At 50.1% G+C, this 18,747-nt stretch overlaps 1 protein-coding gene across 1 annotated transcript in view, besides 5 other annotated features; it reads right to left on the bottom strand.

Annotated features, from left to right (window-relative positions):
* Nucleotides 611–1,134: an enhancer, noted in NCBI's record as "H3K27ac-H3K4me1 hESC enhancer chr15:20547457-20547980 (GRCh37/hg19 assembly coordinates)". NCBI's record gives its function as "activates a minimal SCP1, AML or CMV promoter by ChIP-STARR-seq in naive H9 embryonic stem cells {active_cell/tissue: H9 hESC(naive)}" and the evidence as "EXISTENCE:reporter gene assay evidence [ECO:0000049][PMID:30033119]".
* Nucleotides 1,135–1,656: an enhancer, noted in NCBI's record as "OCT4-H3K27ac-H3K4me1 hESC enhancer chr15:20546935-20547456 (GRCh37/hg19 assembly coordinates)". NCBI's record gives its function as "activates a minimal SCP1, AML or CMV promoter by ChIP-STARR-seq in naive H9 embryonic stem cells {active_cell/tissue: H9 hESC(naive)}" and the evidence as "EXISTENCE:reporter gene assay evidence [ECO:0000049][PMID:30033119]".
* Nucleotides 1,657–2,180: an enhancer, noted in NCBI's record as "OCT4-H3K27ac-H3K4me1 hESC enhancer chr15:20546411-20546934 (GRCh37/hg19 assembly coordinates)". NCBI's record gives its function as "activates a minimal SCP1, AML or CMV promoter by ChIP-STARR-seq in naive H9 embryonic stem cells {active_cell/tissue: H9 hESC(naive)}" and the evidence as "EXISTENCE:reporter gene assay evidence [ECO:0000049][PMID:30033119]".
* Nucleotides 2,181–2,702: an enhancer, noted in NCBI's record as "H3K27ac-H3K4me1 hESC enhancer chr15:20545889-20546410 (GRCh37/hg19 assembly coordinates)". NCBI's record gives its function as "activates a minimal SCP1, AML or CMV promoter by ChIP-STARR-seq in naive and primed H9 embryonic stem cells {active_cell/tissue: H9 hESC(naive and primed)}" and the evidence as "EXISTENCE:reporter gene assay evidence [ECO:0000049][PMID:30033119]".
* Nucleotides 2,703–3,226: an enhancer, noted in NCBI's record as "H3K27ac-H3K4me1 hESC enhancer chr15:20545365-20545888 (GRCh37/hg19 assembly coordinates)". NCBI's record gives its function as "activates a minimal SCP1, AML or CMV promoter by ChIP-STARR-seq in primed H9 embryonic stem cells {active_cell/tissue: H9 hESC(primed)}" and the evidence as "EXISTENCE:reporter gene assay evidence [ECO:0000049][PMID:30033119]".
* The window catches only part of LOC124903442 (uncharacterized), a 36,475-nt gene continuing 28,938 nt past the window's right edge, over nt 11,211–18,747 (bottom strand). The window contains exons 4-5 of the mRNA XM_047433398.1: nt 13,128–13,236; nt 11,211–11,238 (exon numbers count right to left, since the gene is read on the bottom strand). Coding sequence (XP_047289354.1) covers nt 13,158–13,236 — 79 coding nt within the window. The 3' untranslated portion in view covers nt 11,211–11,238; nt 13,128–13,157. The remainder of the gene's footprint in view (nt 11,239–13,127; nt 13,237–18,747) is intronic.

Raw genomic sequence — 18,747 nt, 5'->3', positions numbered from 1 at the left:
CTCGCTTGGCTGGTTGGCTGGCTTGGCTGGCTTGGCTGGCTGGGTGGCTTGGCTGGCTTCAGTGGCTGGCTGGCTTGGCTGGCTTGGCTGGCTGGGTGGCTTGGCTGGCTTGGCTGGCTGGCTGGCTGGGTGGCTTGGCTGGCTTGTCTGGCTGGCTGGGTGACTTGGCTGGCTTGGCTTGCTGGCTGGTTTGGCTGGCTTCGCTGGCTGGCTGGCTGGGTGGCCTGGCTGGCTTGGTTGGCTTGGCTGTCTGGCTGGCTTGGCTGGCTTGGCTGGCTTGCTGGCTTGGCTGGCTTGGCTGGTTGGCTGGCTTGGCTGGCTTGTCTGGCTGGCTGGCTTGGCTGGCTTGAGTGGCTGGCTGGCTTGGCTGGCTTGGCTGGCTGGCTGGCTTGGCTGGCTTGAGTGGCTGGCTGGCTTGGCTGGCTTAGGTGGCTGGCTGACTTGGCTGGCTTGACTCGCTGGCTTCTTTGGCTGGCTTGGCTGGCTTGGCTGTCTGGGTGGCTTGGCTGGCTTGCCTGGCTGGGTGACTTGGCTGGCTTTGGTGACTGGCTAGCTTGGCTGGCTTGGGTGACTGGCTGGCTTGGCTGGCTTGACTCGCTGGCTTCTTTGGCTGGCTTGGCTGGCTTGGCTGTCTGGGTGGCTTGGCTGGCTTGCCTGGCTGAGTGGCTTGGCTGGCTTGGCTGGCTGGCTGGCTGGGTGGCTTGGCTGGCTTGGGTGGCTGGCTGGATTGGCTGGCTGGCTGGCTGGCTGGCTTGGCTGGCTTGGCTGGCTGGCTGACTTGGCTGGCTTGGCTGGCATGACTGGCTGGCTTGCTTGGCTGTCTAGGCTGGATTGGCTGGCTCTCTGGGTTGGCTGGCTTGGCTGGGTGGCTTGCTTGGCTGGCTTGGTTGGCTGGCTGGCTTGGCTGGCTTGGCTTGCTGGCTGGCGTGGTTGGCTTGGCTGGCTGTGTGGCTTGGCTGGCTTGCCCGGCTGGGTGGCTTGGCTGGCTTGGCTGGCTTGGCTGGCTGGCTCACTTGGCTGGCTGCCTGGCTTGGCTGGCTTGGCTGTCTGGCTGGCTTGTCTGGCTTGGCTGGCTGGCTGGCCGGTTGGCTTGGCTGGCTTGCTGGCTTGGCTGGCTTGGCTTGCTGGCTGGCTTGGCTGGCTTGGCTGGCAGGCTTTCTTGGCTGGCTTGGCTGGAAGGGTGGCTTGGCTGGCTGGGTGGCTGGGCTGGCTTGGCTGGCTGAGTGGCTTGGCTGGCTGGGTGGCTGGGCTGGCTGGGCTGGCTTGGCTGGCTGAGTGGCTTGGCTGTCTTGGCCAGCTGGCTGGCTTGGCTGGCTGGCTCACGTGGCTGGCTGCCTGGCTTGGCTGGCTTGGCTGTCTGGCTGGCTTGGCTGGCTTGGCTGGCTGGCTTGACAGGCTGGGTTGGCTGGCTGGCTGGCTGGCTGGCTTGGCCGGCTGGCTGGCTTGGCTGGCTGGCTGTCTTGGCTGGCTTGGCTGGCTGGCTGGCTTGGCTGGCTGGCTGTCTTGGCTGGCTTGGCTGGCTTGGCTGGCTGGCTGTCTTGGCTGGCTGGCTGTCTTGGCTGGCTTGGCTGGCTTGGCTGGCTGGCTGGCTTGGCTGGCTTGGCTGGCTTGGCTGTCTTGGCTGGCTGGCTGGCTTGGCTGGCTTGGCTGGCTTCACTGGCTGGCTGGCTTGGCTGGCTTGGCTGTCTGGCTGGCTGGGTGGCCTGGCTGGCTTGGCTGGCTTGGCTGGCTGGCTGGCTGGCTGGCTGGCCTGGCTGGCTGGGTGGCTGGCTGGCTTGGTTGGCTGGGTGGCTTTGCTGGCTTGGCTGTTTGGGCAGCTTGGCTGCCTTGGGTGGCTGGGTGGCTTGGCTGGCTTGGCTGGCTGGCTGGCTTGGCTGCCTTGCCTGGCTGCCTGGCTTGACAGGCTTGGCTGGATGGCTGTCTGGCTTACTTGTCTGGCTGGCTGGCTTGGCTGGCTTAGGTGGCTGGCTGGCTTGGCTGGCTTGGGTGGCTTGCTGGCTTGGCTGGATTGGGAGGCCGGCTGGCTTGACTGGCTTCGCTGGCTGGCTGGCTTGGCTGGCTGGGTGGCTTGGCGGGCTTGGCTGGCTGGCTGGCTTGGCTGGCTGGCTTAGCTCGTTGGCTGGCTGGGTGGCTTGGCTGGCTTGGACGGCTGGGTGGCTTGGCTGGCTTGGCTGGCTGGCTGTCTTGGGTGGCTTGGCTGGCTGGCTGGCTTGGCTGTTGGCTGGCTGGGTGGCTTGGCTGGCTTGGCTGGCTGGGTGTCTTGCCTAGCTTGGGTGGCTGGCTGACTTGGCTGCCTTGGCTCTCTGGCCACTTGGCTGGCTGGTAGGCCGGCTGGCTTGGCTGGCTGGCTGGCTTGGCTGGCTTGCCTGGCTTGGCTGGCTGGCTGGCTTGGCTGGCTTGGCCGGCTGGCTGGCTGGCCTAGCTGGCTGGCTTGGCTGCCTTGGCTGGCTGGCTGGCTGGGTGGCCTGGCTGGCTTGGCTGGCTTTGCTGGCTGGCTGGCTTGGCTGGCTTGGCTGGCTGGCTGGCTTGGCTGGCTTGGCTGGCTTGGCTTGCTGGGTGGCTTGGCTGGCTTCGCTGGCGGGGTTGCTTGGTTGGCTTTTCTGGCTGGCTGGCTTGGCTGGCTTGGCTGGCTGGGTGACTGGCTAGCTGTCTTGGCTGGCTTGGCTCGCTGGCTTCCTTGGCTGGATTGGCTGGCTTGGCTGGCTTGACTGGGTTGGCTTTCTGGCTGGCTGGGTGGCTTGGCCGGCCTGACTGGCTGGGTGGCCTGGCTGACTTGGCTGGCTGGCTGGCTTGGCTGGCTTGGCTGGCTGGGTGGCTTGGCTGGCTGGCTGGCTTGGCTGGTTGGCTGGCTGGGTGGCTTGTCTGGCTTAGATGGCTGGCTGGCTTGGCCGGCTTGGGTGACAGGCTGGCGTGGCCGGCTTGGTGACTGCCTCGCTGGCTTGGCTGGCTTGGCTCGCTGGCTTCCTTGCCTGGCTTGGATGGCTTGGCTGGGTTGGCTGTCTGGCTGGCTGGGTGGCTTGGCTTGCTGGCTGGCTTGGCCGTCTTGGCTGGCTTCGCTGGCTTGGCTGGCTGGCTGGCTTGGCCGGCTGGCTGGCTCTCCCAGGCTGCAATGCAACGGTATGATCTTGGCTCACTGCAACCTCTGCCTCCCAGGTTCAAGCAATTCTCCTGCCTCAGCCTCCCGAGTAGCTGGGATTACAGGCCTGAGCCACAACACCCGGCTGATTTTTGTACTTTTAGTAGAGATGGGGTTTCATCATGTTTCGTACTCCAGTATGGGTGACAGAGCAAGACTCTGTCTCAAAAAAACAAAAAAGAATTTATACATTGGCATACAGATTCACACACATACACTCATATTCACAAACACACAAATACAATAAATGCAGGGGCACACACAAACACCATCACAAAAACACACTTCCATAAAACACAGGAATGCACGCTCACACAGAAACACACATGGAAACACACGTCTTACAGACTCACAGACACAGTCATCATCACATAAAGAGGCACACACAGCCACGCAAGCACACACCCACACCCACATCAACACACACAATCCCACATGGCACCCACGCACTCACGCACACAGGCAGAACAGGCCTGCATTACCTGATAACGCAGTTGAATCAGACGTGATGCTGCCTGCCGAGGAGACCTGGAGGCTTCCCATGCATGAGCTTTCAGATGAGAGGTCTCTGGGTACATCTGGTGACACCCCAGGCAGTGGGGGAGACGTCTAGGCCGGAAGGCCAGCCACAGCCAGCTCTGCCCAAGGATGCCACGTCCATTTGCTTCAGTAGGATCTGCATCCTGTAAACCCTGGTTCCTGCCTCTCCAGGACACCCCACTGAGGTCAGCACACTCCCCAGGTTTAGAAGGGGTCTCTCGGTGAAATCTGGTGACACCCCAGGCAGAAGGGGGGACACCACAGCCAGCTCTGCCCGCGGTTGCGACGTCCATTTGCTTCAGTAGGATCTGCACCTTGGAAACCCAGGTTCCTGCCTCTCCAGGACACCCCACTGACGTTAGCACACCCTCCAGGTTTACAAGCGGTCTCTGGATACATTTGGTGACACCACAGGCAGATGGGGGATGCTACAGCCAGCTCTGCCCATGGATGCCACTTCCATTTGCTTCAGTAGGATCTGCACCCTGTAAACCCTGGTTCCTGCGTCTCCAGGACACCCCACTGAGGTCAGCACCCCCCACCCACCACCCCCATGTTTGTCCATCTTCGCTGTCTGGGGAGATACACAGAAAGACCACATTCGGTGGAATTCTGGCTATAACATTTTGTGGCCGGCAAGAAGGATCACCAAGCTGTCCTGTTACCTTGCTGGAGCGATCACTGGTTTCACGCTTGGCCCCCGTGCAGTGAGTGCCTGGGCCAGGCTCGATTCCTGGAGCTCCGGTGAAATTTGGGCTTGGAGCTCACGCCTGCACCATCCAGAAAGCAGAAGGCAGCCGGCCTGGGCTGTACGGTTCGTAGAATCAGAGAGAACACTGCTTGCCTTCATGTCTGTACCACAATAAATCTGCCAACTGCGGTCAAAGTCTCTGGATTCCTGCCCCCTCATTTTATTTAGTCTATTATGGAGCAGAAGGAGTGAGAAAGATTTTGCTTCCTATTTTGTTTTGCAAAGCGTTTCTAAGAAAAACAACCCGTGTTCTGAAAACGAGATTCTGAGTGTCCCCTGGGCGTGATGAAAACAAACTTTGGGAATCCAAGGGCCTGAGAGGCAGAGTGAATGTCATTCGCATTTCCCTGCGAATGACAAAGTCACTTTTTATTTATTTTTATTATTATTATTATTATTATTATTATTATTATAGATTCAGGGGATCCACGGGCAGCTTTGTGACCTGAGGATATTGTACGTTGCTGAGGTTTGGGGTATGAATCATCCCGTCACCCAGGCACTGAGCATTGTACATTCCTGAGGTATATAATGTGTACTAAAAATAAAATGTATATTTATATATGCACTAATGATTCAACTTGATTCCTTGTAATTAAGAAAAACAAACCCCAAATTCTAGAGGAGTTCTAGAAATATGTAAGAAGAGAGGCCAGGCGCAGTGGCTCATGCCTGTAATCCCAGCACTTTGGGAGGCCGAGGCAGGTGGATCTCCTAAGGTCAGGAGTTCGAGACCAGCCTGGCCAACATGGTGAAACCCCGTCTCTGCTAAAAATACAAAAATTAGCCAGGTGTGGTGGTGGGTGCCTGTAGTCCCAGCTACTTGGGAGGCTGAGGTAGAAGAATTGCTTGAATCCAGGAGGCAGAAGTTGCAGGGAGCCGAGATTGCACCACTGCACTCCAGCCTGGGTCACAGAGCGAGACTCCATCTCAAAAAAAAAAAAAAAAAAAAAGAGAGCGAGAGAGAAAACAAACAAGCAAGAAAATGCAACAGAAAAATCCGTGACCCAAAGCTCTCTCCAGTTGCTGCTTTCTGCCGGAAATTCAAAGAATCTCAGGGTAGTTTTTCAACCCTTGTACCCCCGCCCCTGCTTCCTGCTCTATTAGTACTGAGGGTCTGTGGTGCCCCTTCATTGTGTCCAGGTGCAGGCAATGTTTAGCTCCCGCCTATAAGCGAGAACATGTGGTATTTGATTTTCTGTTCCTGGCGTTAATTCACTAAGCATAGTGCCCTTCAACTTCATCCACGTGACTACAAAGGGCATGATTTTATTCTTGTTCATGGCTGTGTAGTATTCCATGATGCGGAAGGACCACATTTGCTTTATCTAATTGAGAACATGTGGTATTTGATTTTCTGTGTCTGGCATTAATTCACTAAGCATAATGCCCTTCAGCTTCATCCATGTTGCTGCAAAGGGCATGATTTTATTCTTGTTTATGGCTGTGTAGTATTCCATGATGCGGAAGGACCACATTTGCTTTATCTAGTGCACAACATGTGGTATTTGATTTTCTGTTCCTCGTATTGATTCACTAAGCATAATGCCCTCCGGCTGCATCCATGTGGCTGCAAAGACATGATTTTATTTTTTTCATCACTGTGTAGTATTCCGTGGTGTAGAAGGGCCACATTTGCTTTATCCAGTTGAGGACATGTAGTATTTCATTTTCTGTTCCTGGCATTAATTCACTAAGCATAATGTCCTTCAGCTGCATCCATGTGGCTGCAAAGGACATGATATTATTCTTTTTCATGGCTGCGTAGTATTCCATGATGCAGAAAGACCACATTTGCTTTATCTAGTGGAGAACATGTGGTATTCGATTTTCTTTTCCTGGTGTTAATTCACTAAGCATAATTCCCTTCAGCTGCATCCATGTGGCTGCAAAGACATGATTTTATTCTTTTTCATGGTTGTGCAGTATTCTATGGTGTAGAAGGGCCACAATTGCTTTATCCAGTCAAGAACATGTGGTATTTGATTTTCTGTTCTTAATTCATTAAGCATAATGCCCTCCAGCTACATCCATGTGGCTGCAAAGGATGTGACTTTATTCTTTTTCATGGCTGTGTAGTATTTGATGCTGTAGAAGAACCACTTTTGCTTTATCCGGTACCCTACTGATGGGCAACTGGGTTGATTCCATGACTTTCCTATTGTAAGTCATGCTGTGACGAACCTTACAGGGCCGGGCACTATAATCCCAGCACTCTGGAGGGCCAAGGTGGGCAGATCACCTGAGGTCAGGAGTTCGAGACCAGCCTGGTCAACATGGTGAAACCCTATCTCTACTAAAAATACAAAAACTAGCCAGGCATGGTGGCGCATGCCTGTAATCCCAGCTGCTCAGGAGGCTGAGGCAGGATAATCACTTTAACCCAGGAGGCAGAGGTTGCAGTGAGCCGAGATTGCTACTGCACTCCAGCATGGGCAATAGAGCGAGACTCCATCTCAAAAAACAAACAAACAAACAAAAAGGAACTTTACCATGCATGTGTCTTTTTGGTAGAATGACTTCTTTTCCTTTGGGTAGATGCCCAGTCTTGGAATTGCTGGTGCAAATGGTGGAGCAGTTTGGATTCAGGAGGTACATGTACAGGTTTCTTACATGCGGATGATGTGTGATGCTGAGGTCTGGGGTATGAGTGATCCCATCACCCAGATAGTGAGCATAATACCCCACAGTTGGTTTTTTCAACTCTTGTCCTTCTACCTTCCTCTCTCCCCCTAACTAGAACCCAGTATCTGTTCCCTTCTCTGTGTCTACCTATACACAACATTTAGCTCCCACTTATAAGTGAGAACACGCAGCATTCTGTTAATTTACTTAAGATAATGGCCTCCACACTGTTCACAATAGCAAAGATGTGGAACCAACCCAAATGCTCATCAGTGATAGACTGGATAAACAAAATGTAGCACATAGACACTGTGGAATACTATGCAGCCATGAAAAAGGATGAGTTCATGTCCTTTGCAGGGACATGGATGAAGCTGGAAACCCTCATGTTCAGCAAAGTGAAACAGGAACAGAAAACCAAACAGTGCATGTTCTCACTCATAAGTGGGAAGTGAACAATGAGAACACATCGACCCAGAGAGGGGAACATCACACACTGGGACCTGTTGCAGGGGTGGGGGACTGGGGAAGGGACAGCATTATGAGAAATATCTAATGTAGATGACAGGTTGATGGGTGCAGCAAACCGCTATGGCACATGTATATCTATGTAACAATCCTGCACATTCTGCACATATACCCCAGAACTTAAAGTAGAATAGAAAAAATAAAAAATAATAAAAATAATTAAAAAAGATAATGGCCTCCAGCTACATCCATGTTGCTGCAAAAACAAACAAACAAAAAAAACAAAAAAATGATTTTGTTCCTTTTCAGGGTTGCGTAGTATTCCATGGTGTAGATGTACCACATTTTCTTTGAGGGTAGAGGGTGGGAGGAGGGAGAAGATCAGCAAAAATAACCTGTGGCTGGGTGTGGCAGCTCACACCTGTATTCTCAGCAGTTTGGGAGGCTGAGGTGGGTGGATCACCTGAGGTCAGGAGTTTGAGATCAGCCTGGCCAACATGGCAAAACCCTATCTCTACTAAAAGTACAAAAATTAGCCGGGCATGGTGGTGCACGCCTGTAATCCCGGCTCTTCTGTAGGTTGAGGCAGGAGAATCTCTTGAACCCAGGAGGCAGACATTGCAGTGAGCCGAGATCGTGCCACTGCCCTCCAGCCTGGGCCACAGAGTGGGACTCCATCTCAAAAAATAATCATAAAAATAATAATAATAACCTGCTAGGCTTAGGACCTAGGTTGATTCCATTACAAAAAAAAAGAAAAAACTAACTTTTTAAAAGAAGGATCTCTCTGTTCAAAAACAAAACCAATGCCCTGTCAGGAAAGATGTTCTGTGTTTCTGGTAAAGCTGGAAGGAACCTACAGGAAGGAGTCACCCCATAAAACTAGTGGAGCAGCATTGCCTTTTGGGGTGAGGGCTACTTCTGTTAGGCCACCAGGATGAGTGTCTTCCTGGGGAGTGTGGTTCATCCTATACCATCCAGGAAGCAATTCCTGCCCCCAAATCACTTGCCAGCTTCTGCCCTGTAAGTAAAATCCCCAGCAAGCAGGCAGCAAGGAGCTGCTTGCCTTGGAAGGCAGCTGAAGTCTCTGCCCACCACCCAGACTGTGTCCTCTGGGAAAGGCCAGGTCTTCCAGTTGGATGGTTTTCACATTAGCGGCTGCTGTTTAGAATCACCAACATTGGCCAGGCACGGTGGCTCACGCCTGTCATCTCAGCACTTTGGGAAGCCGAGGCGGGCGGATCACAAGGTCAGGGACCAGCCTGGCCAACATGGTGAAACCCTGTCTCAACTAAAAAAAAATACAAAAATTAGCTTGGTGTGGCTGGGCATGGTGGCTCATCCCTGTAATCCCAGCAATGTGGGAGGCTGAGGCGGGTGGATCATGAGGTCAGGAGATCAAGACCATCCTGGCTAACACGGTGAAACCCTGTCTCTACTAAAAATACAAAAAATTAGCCAGGCACGGTGGCAGGCACCTGTAGTCCCAGCTACTCGTGAGGCTGAGGCAGGAGAATGGTGTGAACCTGAGAGGTGGGGTTTGCAGTGAGCCCAGATTGCGCCACTGCACTCCAGCCTGGGCGATATAGAGTGAGACTCTGTCTCAAAAAAAATTAAAAAAATAAAAAATTAGCCTGGTGTGGCGGTGGGCACCTGTAATCCCAGCTACTCAGGAGGCTGAGGCAGGAGAATTGCTTGCACCCCAGAGGCAGAGGTTGCAGTGAGCCGAGATTGCACCATTGCACTCCAGCCTAGACAACAGAGCGAGACTCTGTTGCAAAAAAAAAAAAAAAGGAATCATCAACATTGCCTTGGCCCAATCTCTTCCCAGACTTGTCAAATATTTACCACTAGACCTCCATGTTCTAGTTTCAAAGCTCTGCTGGCCACAGTGGCTCATGTCTGTAATCCCAGCACTTTGGGAGGCTGAGGTAGGAGGACTGCTCGAACCCAGAAGCATGAATCCATCCTAGGCAACATAGTGATAATAGTGTCAAATGAGAGCCAGTGTCCAGTAATTCCCCAAATATCTGAGAATTTTCTTTTCTTTAAGTCACAGTCATCCTGGCAGAAGGCTGTAGGTCCCTTTGGGGAAGACTGGGGAAAAGATTAACAATGTAAATTTTTGGCAATGTAGCAGCGTACTTCCCCAAGATCACCCAGCCTCCCCTTCACTTAAGGGGTTGTAGGCCTGTGAACTGGCTCAAGTCTGGGAATTGATTGAGGGTTTTAGATCTGTGTTTCATTAATTTGAGTTAATCTTTTATTCAGTTGACCTAGAATTATTCATTTTTTAAACAACAACTAAGACTTTGGTACAGCCCATTAGCTCTCCCTGTGGATACCATGGACTACACAATGCCATGGGTGTCTGTGAGTCAAATCATTCTGACTGCTGCTTTGACACTGCTTTCCACTGTGGTGACCACACCCACCTCATCTTTGGTGATTAAGGACAGCCCATGTTCCCTGCCACCCCAGGATTCAATTATCCTCATTTTACTTAAAGATCCCAGTCCAGTGGCTGCAGTTCCTGCTGTAACATTTTGCCTACTGAGAGCACAAGCTCAAAGCTCTTCCAGGATACTGGGCTCCTCTCACAATATTCTTTCTCATGATCGTTGTGAGGAGTATGTTCTGTAGACCCTTCAGTGTGAGTGAGCAGGTCTGACATAATAAATCCAGTCTCCCTGAGTTTTTGCATACCTTTCTGTACACATAAACCAAGGAAGTTGTGGCATCTCAACTTTATGTACCTTAGGTAAACTCTGATTCTGTTTCAGCCAACCAACCAAGTCACCAAACAAACAGCCAACCAATCAACCAACAAGCAAGCAAGCAACAAACCAACCAAACAACCAAGCAAGGAAGCAAGCACCACCAACCAAGCAAGCAACCAACCAAGTAACCGATCAAACCAACCCTTGGAGCCCTTTCTAAAGCTTTGACCTACAACTCTGAGTCCAGAATCTCTGTTTAGTGGGCCAACATTAATAAATTTAGCCTAATCCAACTTTATGTTACTTTCACCATGGTGCCACACAATATCCATTCCCACATATATTCTCCAGATTTCCTTCTGTATAAATTGCGTGTGTGTGTGTGTGTGTGTGTGTAGAAAGAGAGCATCAACTGAAAAATCACACAATTTTATAAATTTAGAAAAGAGAGCTTTATTTCTTATAAAGGTTTGCAGTCTGCAAGGTGGCCATTATGACAGGCTGGGAAGTGTGGCCTACAGCCAAGGCCAGAGGCAGGCATTTCCAGGGAGGGAGGGAGAGGACAGGAATTTGAGCCAAATGAGTTGGCTACATATACATACTCAATAGGATATCAGAGGAGCTATATCATTTTATGAGAATACTCATAAAAGAGGTCCTAACACATGCATATTCAATAAACATGCATGTTCATTCTGGGGTGGAGACTTGACATTTAAATGTATTATAATTAGGCCCTACACATCAAAAAGTGAAGCAGGGACATGAAGGTACTCAGCCTCGTAAAGGCACAGCCTCTAAAACTGGCCAGAACCAGTCCATGGAGGATGGTCTCTTATCAGGAGAAAGTTACTGAAATCAGTCCCTTGTCCAGAGAAAGCTGTCGTTAAGGTTAGTGGGGCAGGAGATCAGTTACTCAGCATCTGTGAACTGGGTGAGTTGTAATTGTTTTAATCTTCTCTCACAGCCATCTCTCACAGCCAGTGCTTGCTTGGCTGCTAGAGAAAAATAAAACCCATGTGGTAGTTAGAATCTAGTTAATTCTTTAAGAGTAGGGTACAAGACTTAACCCTCGCCTGGCATGGCCCTAGGTCCTGTTTATAATTTGAGGTCTTATTGCCACAAAGAGTCTGTTCTGTCAGTCTCATGATCTCTATTTTAACATTAATGCTGTTCAGTTGTTGGGTCTAAACCATAAGAGGGAGGGAGGTACAGGGAGGTATGTCTGACTTCCTGTCCTGTCATGGCCAAGAACTGAATTTTAAGTTTTATTTGAGGTTCCATTGGCCAACAGGGGGTCTGTTAAGATGGGTGGGGGCCTTAGGATTTTAGTTTTAGTTCTCAAGGGAGATAAAATAATTTAATCAATTGGCCCCTACGACTGTGGGACTAACATGGCTATGATCTGTCGGACAGACTTCAGGGTGGCACCCAGGCAAAATTCTATGCTGTAGTAAATGCATCATGCACATTTGTAACAATATGTACATAACAATGTCACAAAATACTTTCAAGGTGACACCTAGATTAGTATTTTATTGAATAGCTGATGATATAAACTGGCTCATTTGATGCCAAGACTGACCATTACCACCATACCAAGGTCATCACTGATCAGAGGCCTAACCCAAGGAGGGGGTCATGTGCAGACCCAGCAGTGGGGAGGAAAGATGCTGCAGAGGAGACAGATGCCCACAGAGGCCCCTGAGTGGATACCATGCTCACTAAGTGGTAAGTATAGACTCAACGTAGGCTGTAAGGTCTCCCCCTGTGCAAATGGGACCCCGTCCACTTGAGAGTCAAGGGTCTGTTTGGGTGGCAGGGATAGCCACTTCTGAAGGTAGAAAGGAAATAAGCCACCAAATTGGTATCTTTCTGTGAAATGGACATCGTGCTTAGAATCTCCATTTTCCCCACAACCTGGAGGAATAAGTACTGTCATGTGCATTTTGTAGCTGAGGAATCTGACGCAACAAAAATTAAATTACTTGCCTAAGCAATTAGCAATTAACCAAGTCTTTCTGACTCAGAAACCCAGCTGTTGCCTGTTCATATCCAGCCCCTGTATTGGGGTCAAGATCTGGCCTGTTCTCAATGCAGCAAGATCCAGGCAGATCACACTGGACTCCCAGCACTGAATCTGGCTCAAAGGGACATCAAATTTGACTGGGTCGTGGGGCTCAGGAGCATCACTCTCAAAAATAGCAGTACAGGAAGAGGCGATGACCCTAAACAGCATTTGCAGGCAGATCCCATGTTAATAATAAGGGTCAGGACTCTCTCACTTTTCTGTCTCTCTCTCTGTCTCTCCTCTAGGGCTGACCCCACATTGGACACCACTGCATCCATGTCCATCACACACCACAGCTGCCTTTTCTTCTGCCTGCTTATGGGAAAGTCCCCTCCTCTCCTCCGTTTTCTTCTCTTCCTGCCCTATCACACCGTGCACTTCTCCCTTTCCTTAAAGAACCACCATCAACTTTAGGAGGAGGGAAAGGGGTGGCTCTGGCAGGAAAAGCCAGAATCCCCTCTAGCCAGCAGAGAGAGAGGAATGGCTGCATGTTTTCTCCCCCAATCCAAGGCACTAGGTTTTGGCTAGGTTGCAGGTTCCAAGCTGCTCTCCTGCTGTGTCGGTGAGTTCTGGTTAACCTGCAACCTCCTGATGTGGCCACTGCAGTTCATCGAGTCTTCAGGGACTCCCCATGGCCTGGAGTACTTTGCCTTGCTTACACGGGAGAGGAGAATGGATTTATAGAGAACATCATCTAAATCCAACTTGACCATTGTGTGGCCACACTTGCTAGATTGCTTTAGTCTAAATCTAGCATTGTAGAAAGACGGGGGAGCTTGGAGCTGCACAAACCCAGGTCTGGAACTGGCTCCTTACCTTGAAAGGTGAATAATCCTGGCAGGACTCTTAGCCTTCCTGGGCCTCAGTTTCTTTATCTGTTTCTTGGGAAGGAGGATCTCTGCTGGTTGGTTGGGTGATGTGGGGGCTGTGTGAAAACAACTTGTCAATACAAGCCAAAATAGGAATATTTCTCCACAGAGTATGAAGGTCAAATGAGAGAATACATTTAAATTAAATGGAAAATTTAAATGGCAAAAAAGGCAAAGCTGTATTGAAAGTTCTGAGCTTCTCTATAAGGAGCTTTTTGACTATGTAAGAATCCTATACTCGTTCCCCCTAAATATAAAAAAAAAAGTTGAAGGAGGCAGAAGGGAGAGTGATGCACGATGGGCGAGGACTTCACCTGCTGTTGCAGGCTTTGAGGATGGAGGAAGGAGGCCACAAACCCAGAAGCTGGAGCCCCTAGAAGCTAGAAAACGCAGGGACCTGATTCATCCCTTGAGCCTCCAGAAGGGACATAGCCCCACCAGCACCTTGACTTTAGCCCAGTGAGATCCTCTTAGGACTTTTGGCAACCAGAACTATAAGACAGAAATGGAAGCCACTGAGTCTGTAGCTGTTTGTTGCAGCAGCAATAGAAAACTAATGCAGAGCCCAAGAAATCACTGGTGATGAGATGGGGAAGTGGGCTCAGGAGGTCTGGATCTGTGATGAGATGGGGAAAGTGGGGGAGGTCTGGATCTGTGATGAGATGGGGAAAGTGGGCTCAGGAGGTCTGGATCTGTGATGAGATGGGGAAAGTGGGCTCAGGAGGTCTGGATCTGTGATGAGATGGGGAAAGTGGGCTCAGGAGGTCTGGATCTGAGTTGGGGATCTGGAGTGGAAGGGGAATTCATTTGTTCATTGTCTATCCTTTTGCATTGATTCAGTTTTTTCCATATATATATATATGTGAATTTCACAATAAAAGTTTTTTCCAAAATAAAAGAAACAAAAGGGGCTTTTTGCAACTCAATTCCTATCTATGTCTGAGTCCACTTGTATTGAATGAGTCTTTCTGCTAACATCCTTATATTTGGGTGACAATCTGAATGTCAGTGACCAATCAGAGCAGAGGCAGACCTTGGAGTGGGCAGGGCATCCTGAGGGCCCTGATTCCTGCCATGAGGCATAACCCTTTAGATGCCAGACCATGGGGAGGTCCAGGGGTTGCAGGGGAGGGCTGTGCATCTGCAATGACTCTCAGGGGGCTCCCGGTGGTGGCAATTGGTGAATCTGCACGGCAGTGTTTCAATATTGTCACAACCCTGCTGTCTCTCATGCTCTCAAAAAGCATTTCTCTTACCTGTGACAGACTTCCTATACCTAACAGCTTGCAAAAATGTTCCAGGTTAATGAGAATAATCTCTCGGAGCCATACCTCCCTACTTGGGGTCTCAGTTTCCCCAACTGTCTCCAGACAAGTTAGGCTAGAAGGCCCCTGAGCCTCAGCCCCTCTATACCCCTCCTGTCACCCAGACCTGATCTGGGGCTTGCACCCTGGGTGCAGCATGACAGGGGTGGGCAGGGGCTGGCTCTGGGCCAGAGGACCCTTTCTGATGGACTTCAGCTGTTGGCCTTCCAGGGGAGACTGATCAACCTCACAAGAGTCATACGGTGAGTAGCGGTGGGCAAATCCATCCCCCTCGTCTTAGATTTATGGGGAGACAGAGAGAAAGAGGAGACACTCCAGGAAGACCTGCAGGTGGGAGTACCAGGTTGAAACCAAGGACACCTTCCTGGAGGAGCTGCTGTTTGAGCCAGCTCTGAGAACAGGTGGGGACAGGACTGGAGAGGAGAAGGGGGTCCCCTATGAGCAAAGACTGGCCACCACCCGATCTAACACCCCCACAGGGCCCCTGTGGCATCCCTGTCCAGTCCCTGTCACCACCCAGTTTTCCCCTCTGGACCCAGGAATTCAAAGTAAGCAAGGAGGTCTGCTGCTCCAGTTGGCTGCAAATAATTACAACCTTGAGCCCAAGCAGCACTTTGGGTCATGGTTTGGGACCATGAAGCAGCTTGGTGAGACTGAGAGGTAAGGCCAGGACAGGAATTGGGATAGTGGGATTGAACTCTCCCTGGGGGCCAGCCTCAGAAAGCCTGTGGCCATGGCCTCTTGGTCAACAGGTCAACATCAGATCCTGTGGTCTGGCAATGCCTGGGGTACCCAGACCTCACTCTGGACAGGCCCTGGGAGGGGGCCCTGGTGAGATTCCTGGCAGCCTCACAGCCACTCTTCTGTCCATAGCTACAACCTGTCATGCTAGCTGGAGGCTCCATCCCAGTTGGCTGGGAGCACAAAGGCCAGGAAGATAGACATCACCCACCACAGGGGCCAGTCGGGGCCTGAACCAGGGCGAGCAGAGGTTGGCTGCCTTGGGATATGGGTGGGCTCAGGGAGTCAGACAGCAAGGGACCAGCCTCCCATCCTACTGCTGACCAGCCCTGTGACTGGGGAGAGTCACCTTACTTCTCTGGGCCTCAGTTTCCCCCTCTGTGGAGTGACACTAAATGATCTCTCTGGAGACTGGGATCAATAGGGCACTGGTGATTGACCAGGCACTCAGCACATGCCTGGAGCACATGGTGCAGGGCTGTGGTGGGGAGGTGGCCTGAGTTCCTGGGGAGTCACCCATGTGTGCCTGCCGTTCTGACCAGCCACCAGGCCCTCAGGGCAGAGCCCACTACCAGCAGCAGCTCACACCCCGAGACCAGCTCAGAGGCGGCCCCTAGCTCAGCAGCAGGGACATCACGGACACTTTAAGCTGCTACTAGGGTGGCTTCTCCAGCTCCCACGTGGAGAGGGGTCCCAGCTGAGTCCCACTCACGTGGAGTCTCATGCCGATGAAAGTGCCATTCATCACTGGCCAGGCTCATGAGGCCGCATGAGAGGGGGGTCACTGGGGAGGAGATATCGGGGGAACAGAGAGGGTGGTTGAATTTTTGTATAATAGGCAGTGCAAGTGCTTACCGTTTGGGAGGGGAAAGGTTTGTTATTATTAGCAATGCTACACTTGAATATTATACTAAAATCCAGTTTCTCTATAATCTTGGAGTTGCTCTTTTGTTCTTTCTTTTCCCATCTTAATTAAAATGAGATGCAGACTCTCACGGTCCACAGTCGATTAAGAAATCTTGCACGGCCATCAGGTTATGTCTTGGAGAGCAGAGTTTCAGTACCATCAGCCTGGCAAGGAGCCGGGCCTGCTCCTCAGAGCTGCCGGGACTGCGAGAATTGGCATGTTCACAGGGCACTGTCACAGCCTCTGAAACATGCTGTCTTTAAAGACGTTTGCAGGCTGGATGCGGTGGCTCACTCCTGTAATCCCAGCACTTTGGGAGGCAGAAGCGGGTGGCTCACTTGAGGTCAGGAGTTCGAGACCAACATGGCCAACATGGTAAAACCCCATCTCTACTAAAAATACAAAAAATTAGCCAGGTGTGGTGGCAGGTGCCTGTAATTCCAGCTACTTGGGAGGCTGAGGTAGGAGAACTGCTTGAACCCAAGAGGCGGAGGTTGCAATGAGCAGAGATCACACCACTGCACTCCAGTCTGGGCAACAAGAGCAAAACTTCATCTCAAAAAAAAAAAAAAAAAAAAAAACACAAAGACATTTGCAAGGACCATGTCCTCACCCAGAATGGTGCCTGCCTTTCTACAGTTTTTCAGGAAGAGGAAACATTTTCTGCTTCTCTCGCTGAGGTTTTTTTTAACCACCCATTAGGAACCGATAGATTTCAGGATCGAACACTGGGATTCCCTCAGCACTAAAGGAGGAAAATTGCAAACAGAGCTGAAAGTGCAATGTGCAAAGGTCAGGCTGAGGAAGGTTCTTAGCCAGTAGACCAAGAGCAGGAAGGACACTGCCTCCTCAGTCTCCCACTAGGGAACTTGTGATTCTTGTCCCCTGACCTCAGAATTCCTTTTCATGTTTGTTTTGTCTCCAAGGGAAAGGTTTGAATTACAGAATTTAAGGCTAGAGTGGGCCTCGTGCAGTTAACATTAACCCTCTCTTTCCTTCGCTGGCTGAGGTGAAGTCCAGGAACACGTAGTTCTGACGTCCACTCTCTCGGGGGATCACCAGTTCACCCATCTCACCCAGCAAGCTGGGCCCTAGTTTGGTGACAGGCATCTTCCACCCACCTGGGAGGCAGGGTTCAACACTCTGCCTCTGACCTTGTTTCCTTCTTCTGCCATCTGCTTAGGCAGCCAGAAGGGGTTGTCCAGCCAGCACCTGGGCTTTGGCGCACCTCAAGCAGGTGGAGGAAGTTTCAGGCACCTGGCTCCTCAGGTGTCTGCCATCCAGGTGCTCTTCAGGCCTGCACGGCAGAGGTCTCTTGACCCAGCTAGAACTGGCCAGAACTGACTCACTCAGGAATGTGTAGACTTTGGCATCAGGGGCTGCTTTAATTTGCACAATTTCCAAATACCTCTTTTTTCTTCTTTTTCTGATGAGTCATCTCCCTAGACTTGCATTTTAAAGAGATAGATAGTTATCAGGTTCCAGAGAAGACATGGTAGAACATTTATATCTCAAAGACACAGAGCTGAGACTTCAGTTTTAGATACTATAATTTGCCTAAACCAAAAAGGAAGGTGTAGGTAAAGTTCTAGTCAAGACAGGATGGCCAGGAAAAACACCTTAAACCAAGGGATGGCTTGCTTTGCTGATTTAAGCCAATGGCTTCTTTATCATAAGACTTCCCAGTGATTTAGTCCTCCCTCTCTTCCAGTGCACAGAGACATACCCCTCCTTACAAATAAAAATGTTCTTTATAGATGTAAATTTATTTTACAAAAATGTTTCAAAATGACCAGATGAAAATCATCCTTATGCCAGAAGACTTGTTTTTTTTTTTTTTTTCATTACTAGAAATGAAACAGTAAGTATTTGTTCTATTGACATACTTAGGCTTAGACCTATGTTTAACAAGAAAGCCTAATAATAGCACTGTGGTTAGACTGCAGCCTATTTTTCCAAACCATCATTTTATTATTAAGGAAACGAAGGATCAAATACCTTTCATTCATCTGATATGATCCTTTAAAACACATTCCACTAATAGGTCCCATTTGGAACAGCTGAAAATCTTTTAATAAAACTTTTTAAAGATGAGCTCATGGCTTAGTGTAAATTTCACAAGCTTAATTAGGTCAAATGGAAGGAACTCAGATGAGTAGTTGCCCAATCAGAGCCCATTATTTGTAAGTCATCAGACCCCTCCATGACCTTAAAACTCCACTCTGAGCTAATTATTGCAAACCTACATACAACAAAGTGAAAGGATTAATTTTCATTCATCAACCTCTCAATCCCAGATTTTCAAAGAAAAAACCTATGTAAGGAATACTTACCAAAACCAGACAGGAAAATTAGAGCCTGCATACTTTAGAGTCAAATTTGTTCCACTACAGCCAGGTCGCATACAATTACATCATTTGGTTCTTCATACACTCTAGAACTGACTAGGACAGAGTTTAGCATAGAAAAACTGTAAGAAATAGGTTCTGAAACATAGAAATTGCAAAGTTCAAAAGGCTATGAAAAAAACTAATGTAAATGAGAGACTCCCCTCCTTTTGTTTTAAAGAAATAGACCCATCAGAGAAATGTAAA

This window comes from Homo sapiens, chromosome 15 (genome assembly GCF_000001405.40).
Source record: "Homo sapiens chromosome 15, GRCh38.p14 Primary Assembly".
NCBI lineage: Eukaryota > Metazoa > Chordata > Mammalia > Primates > Hominidae > Homo > Homo sapiens.
The sequence above is the reverse complement of the archived record's forward strand: the minus strand, read 5'-3'. Positions and strand labels throughout refer to the sequence as shown.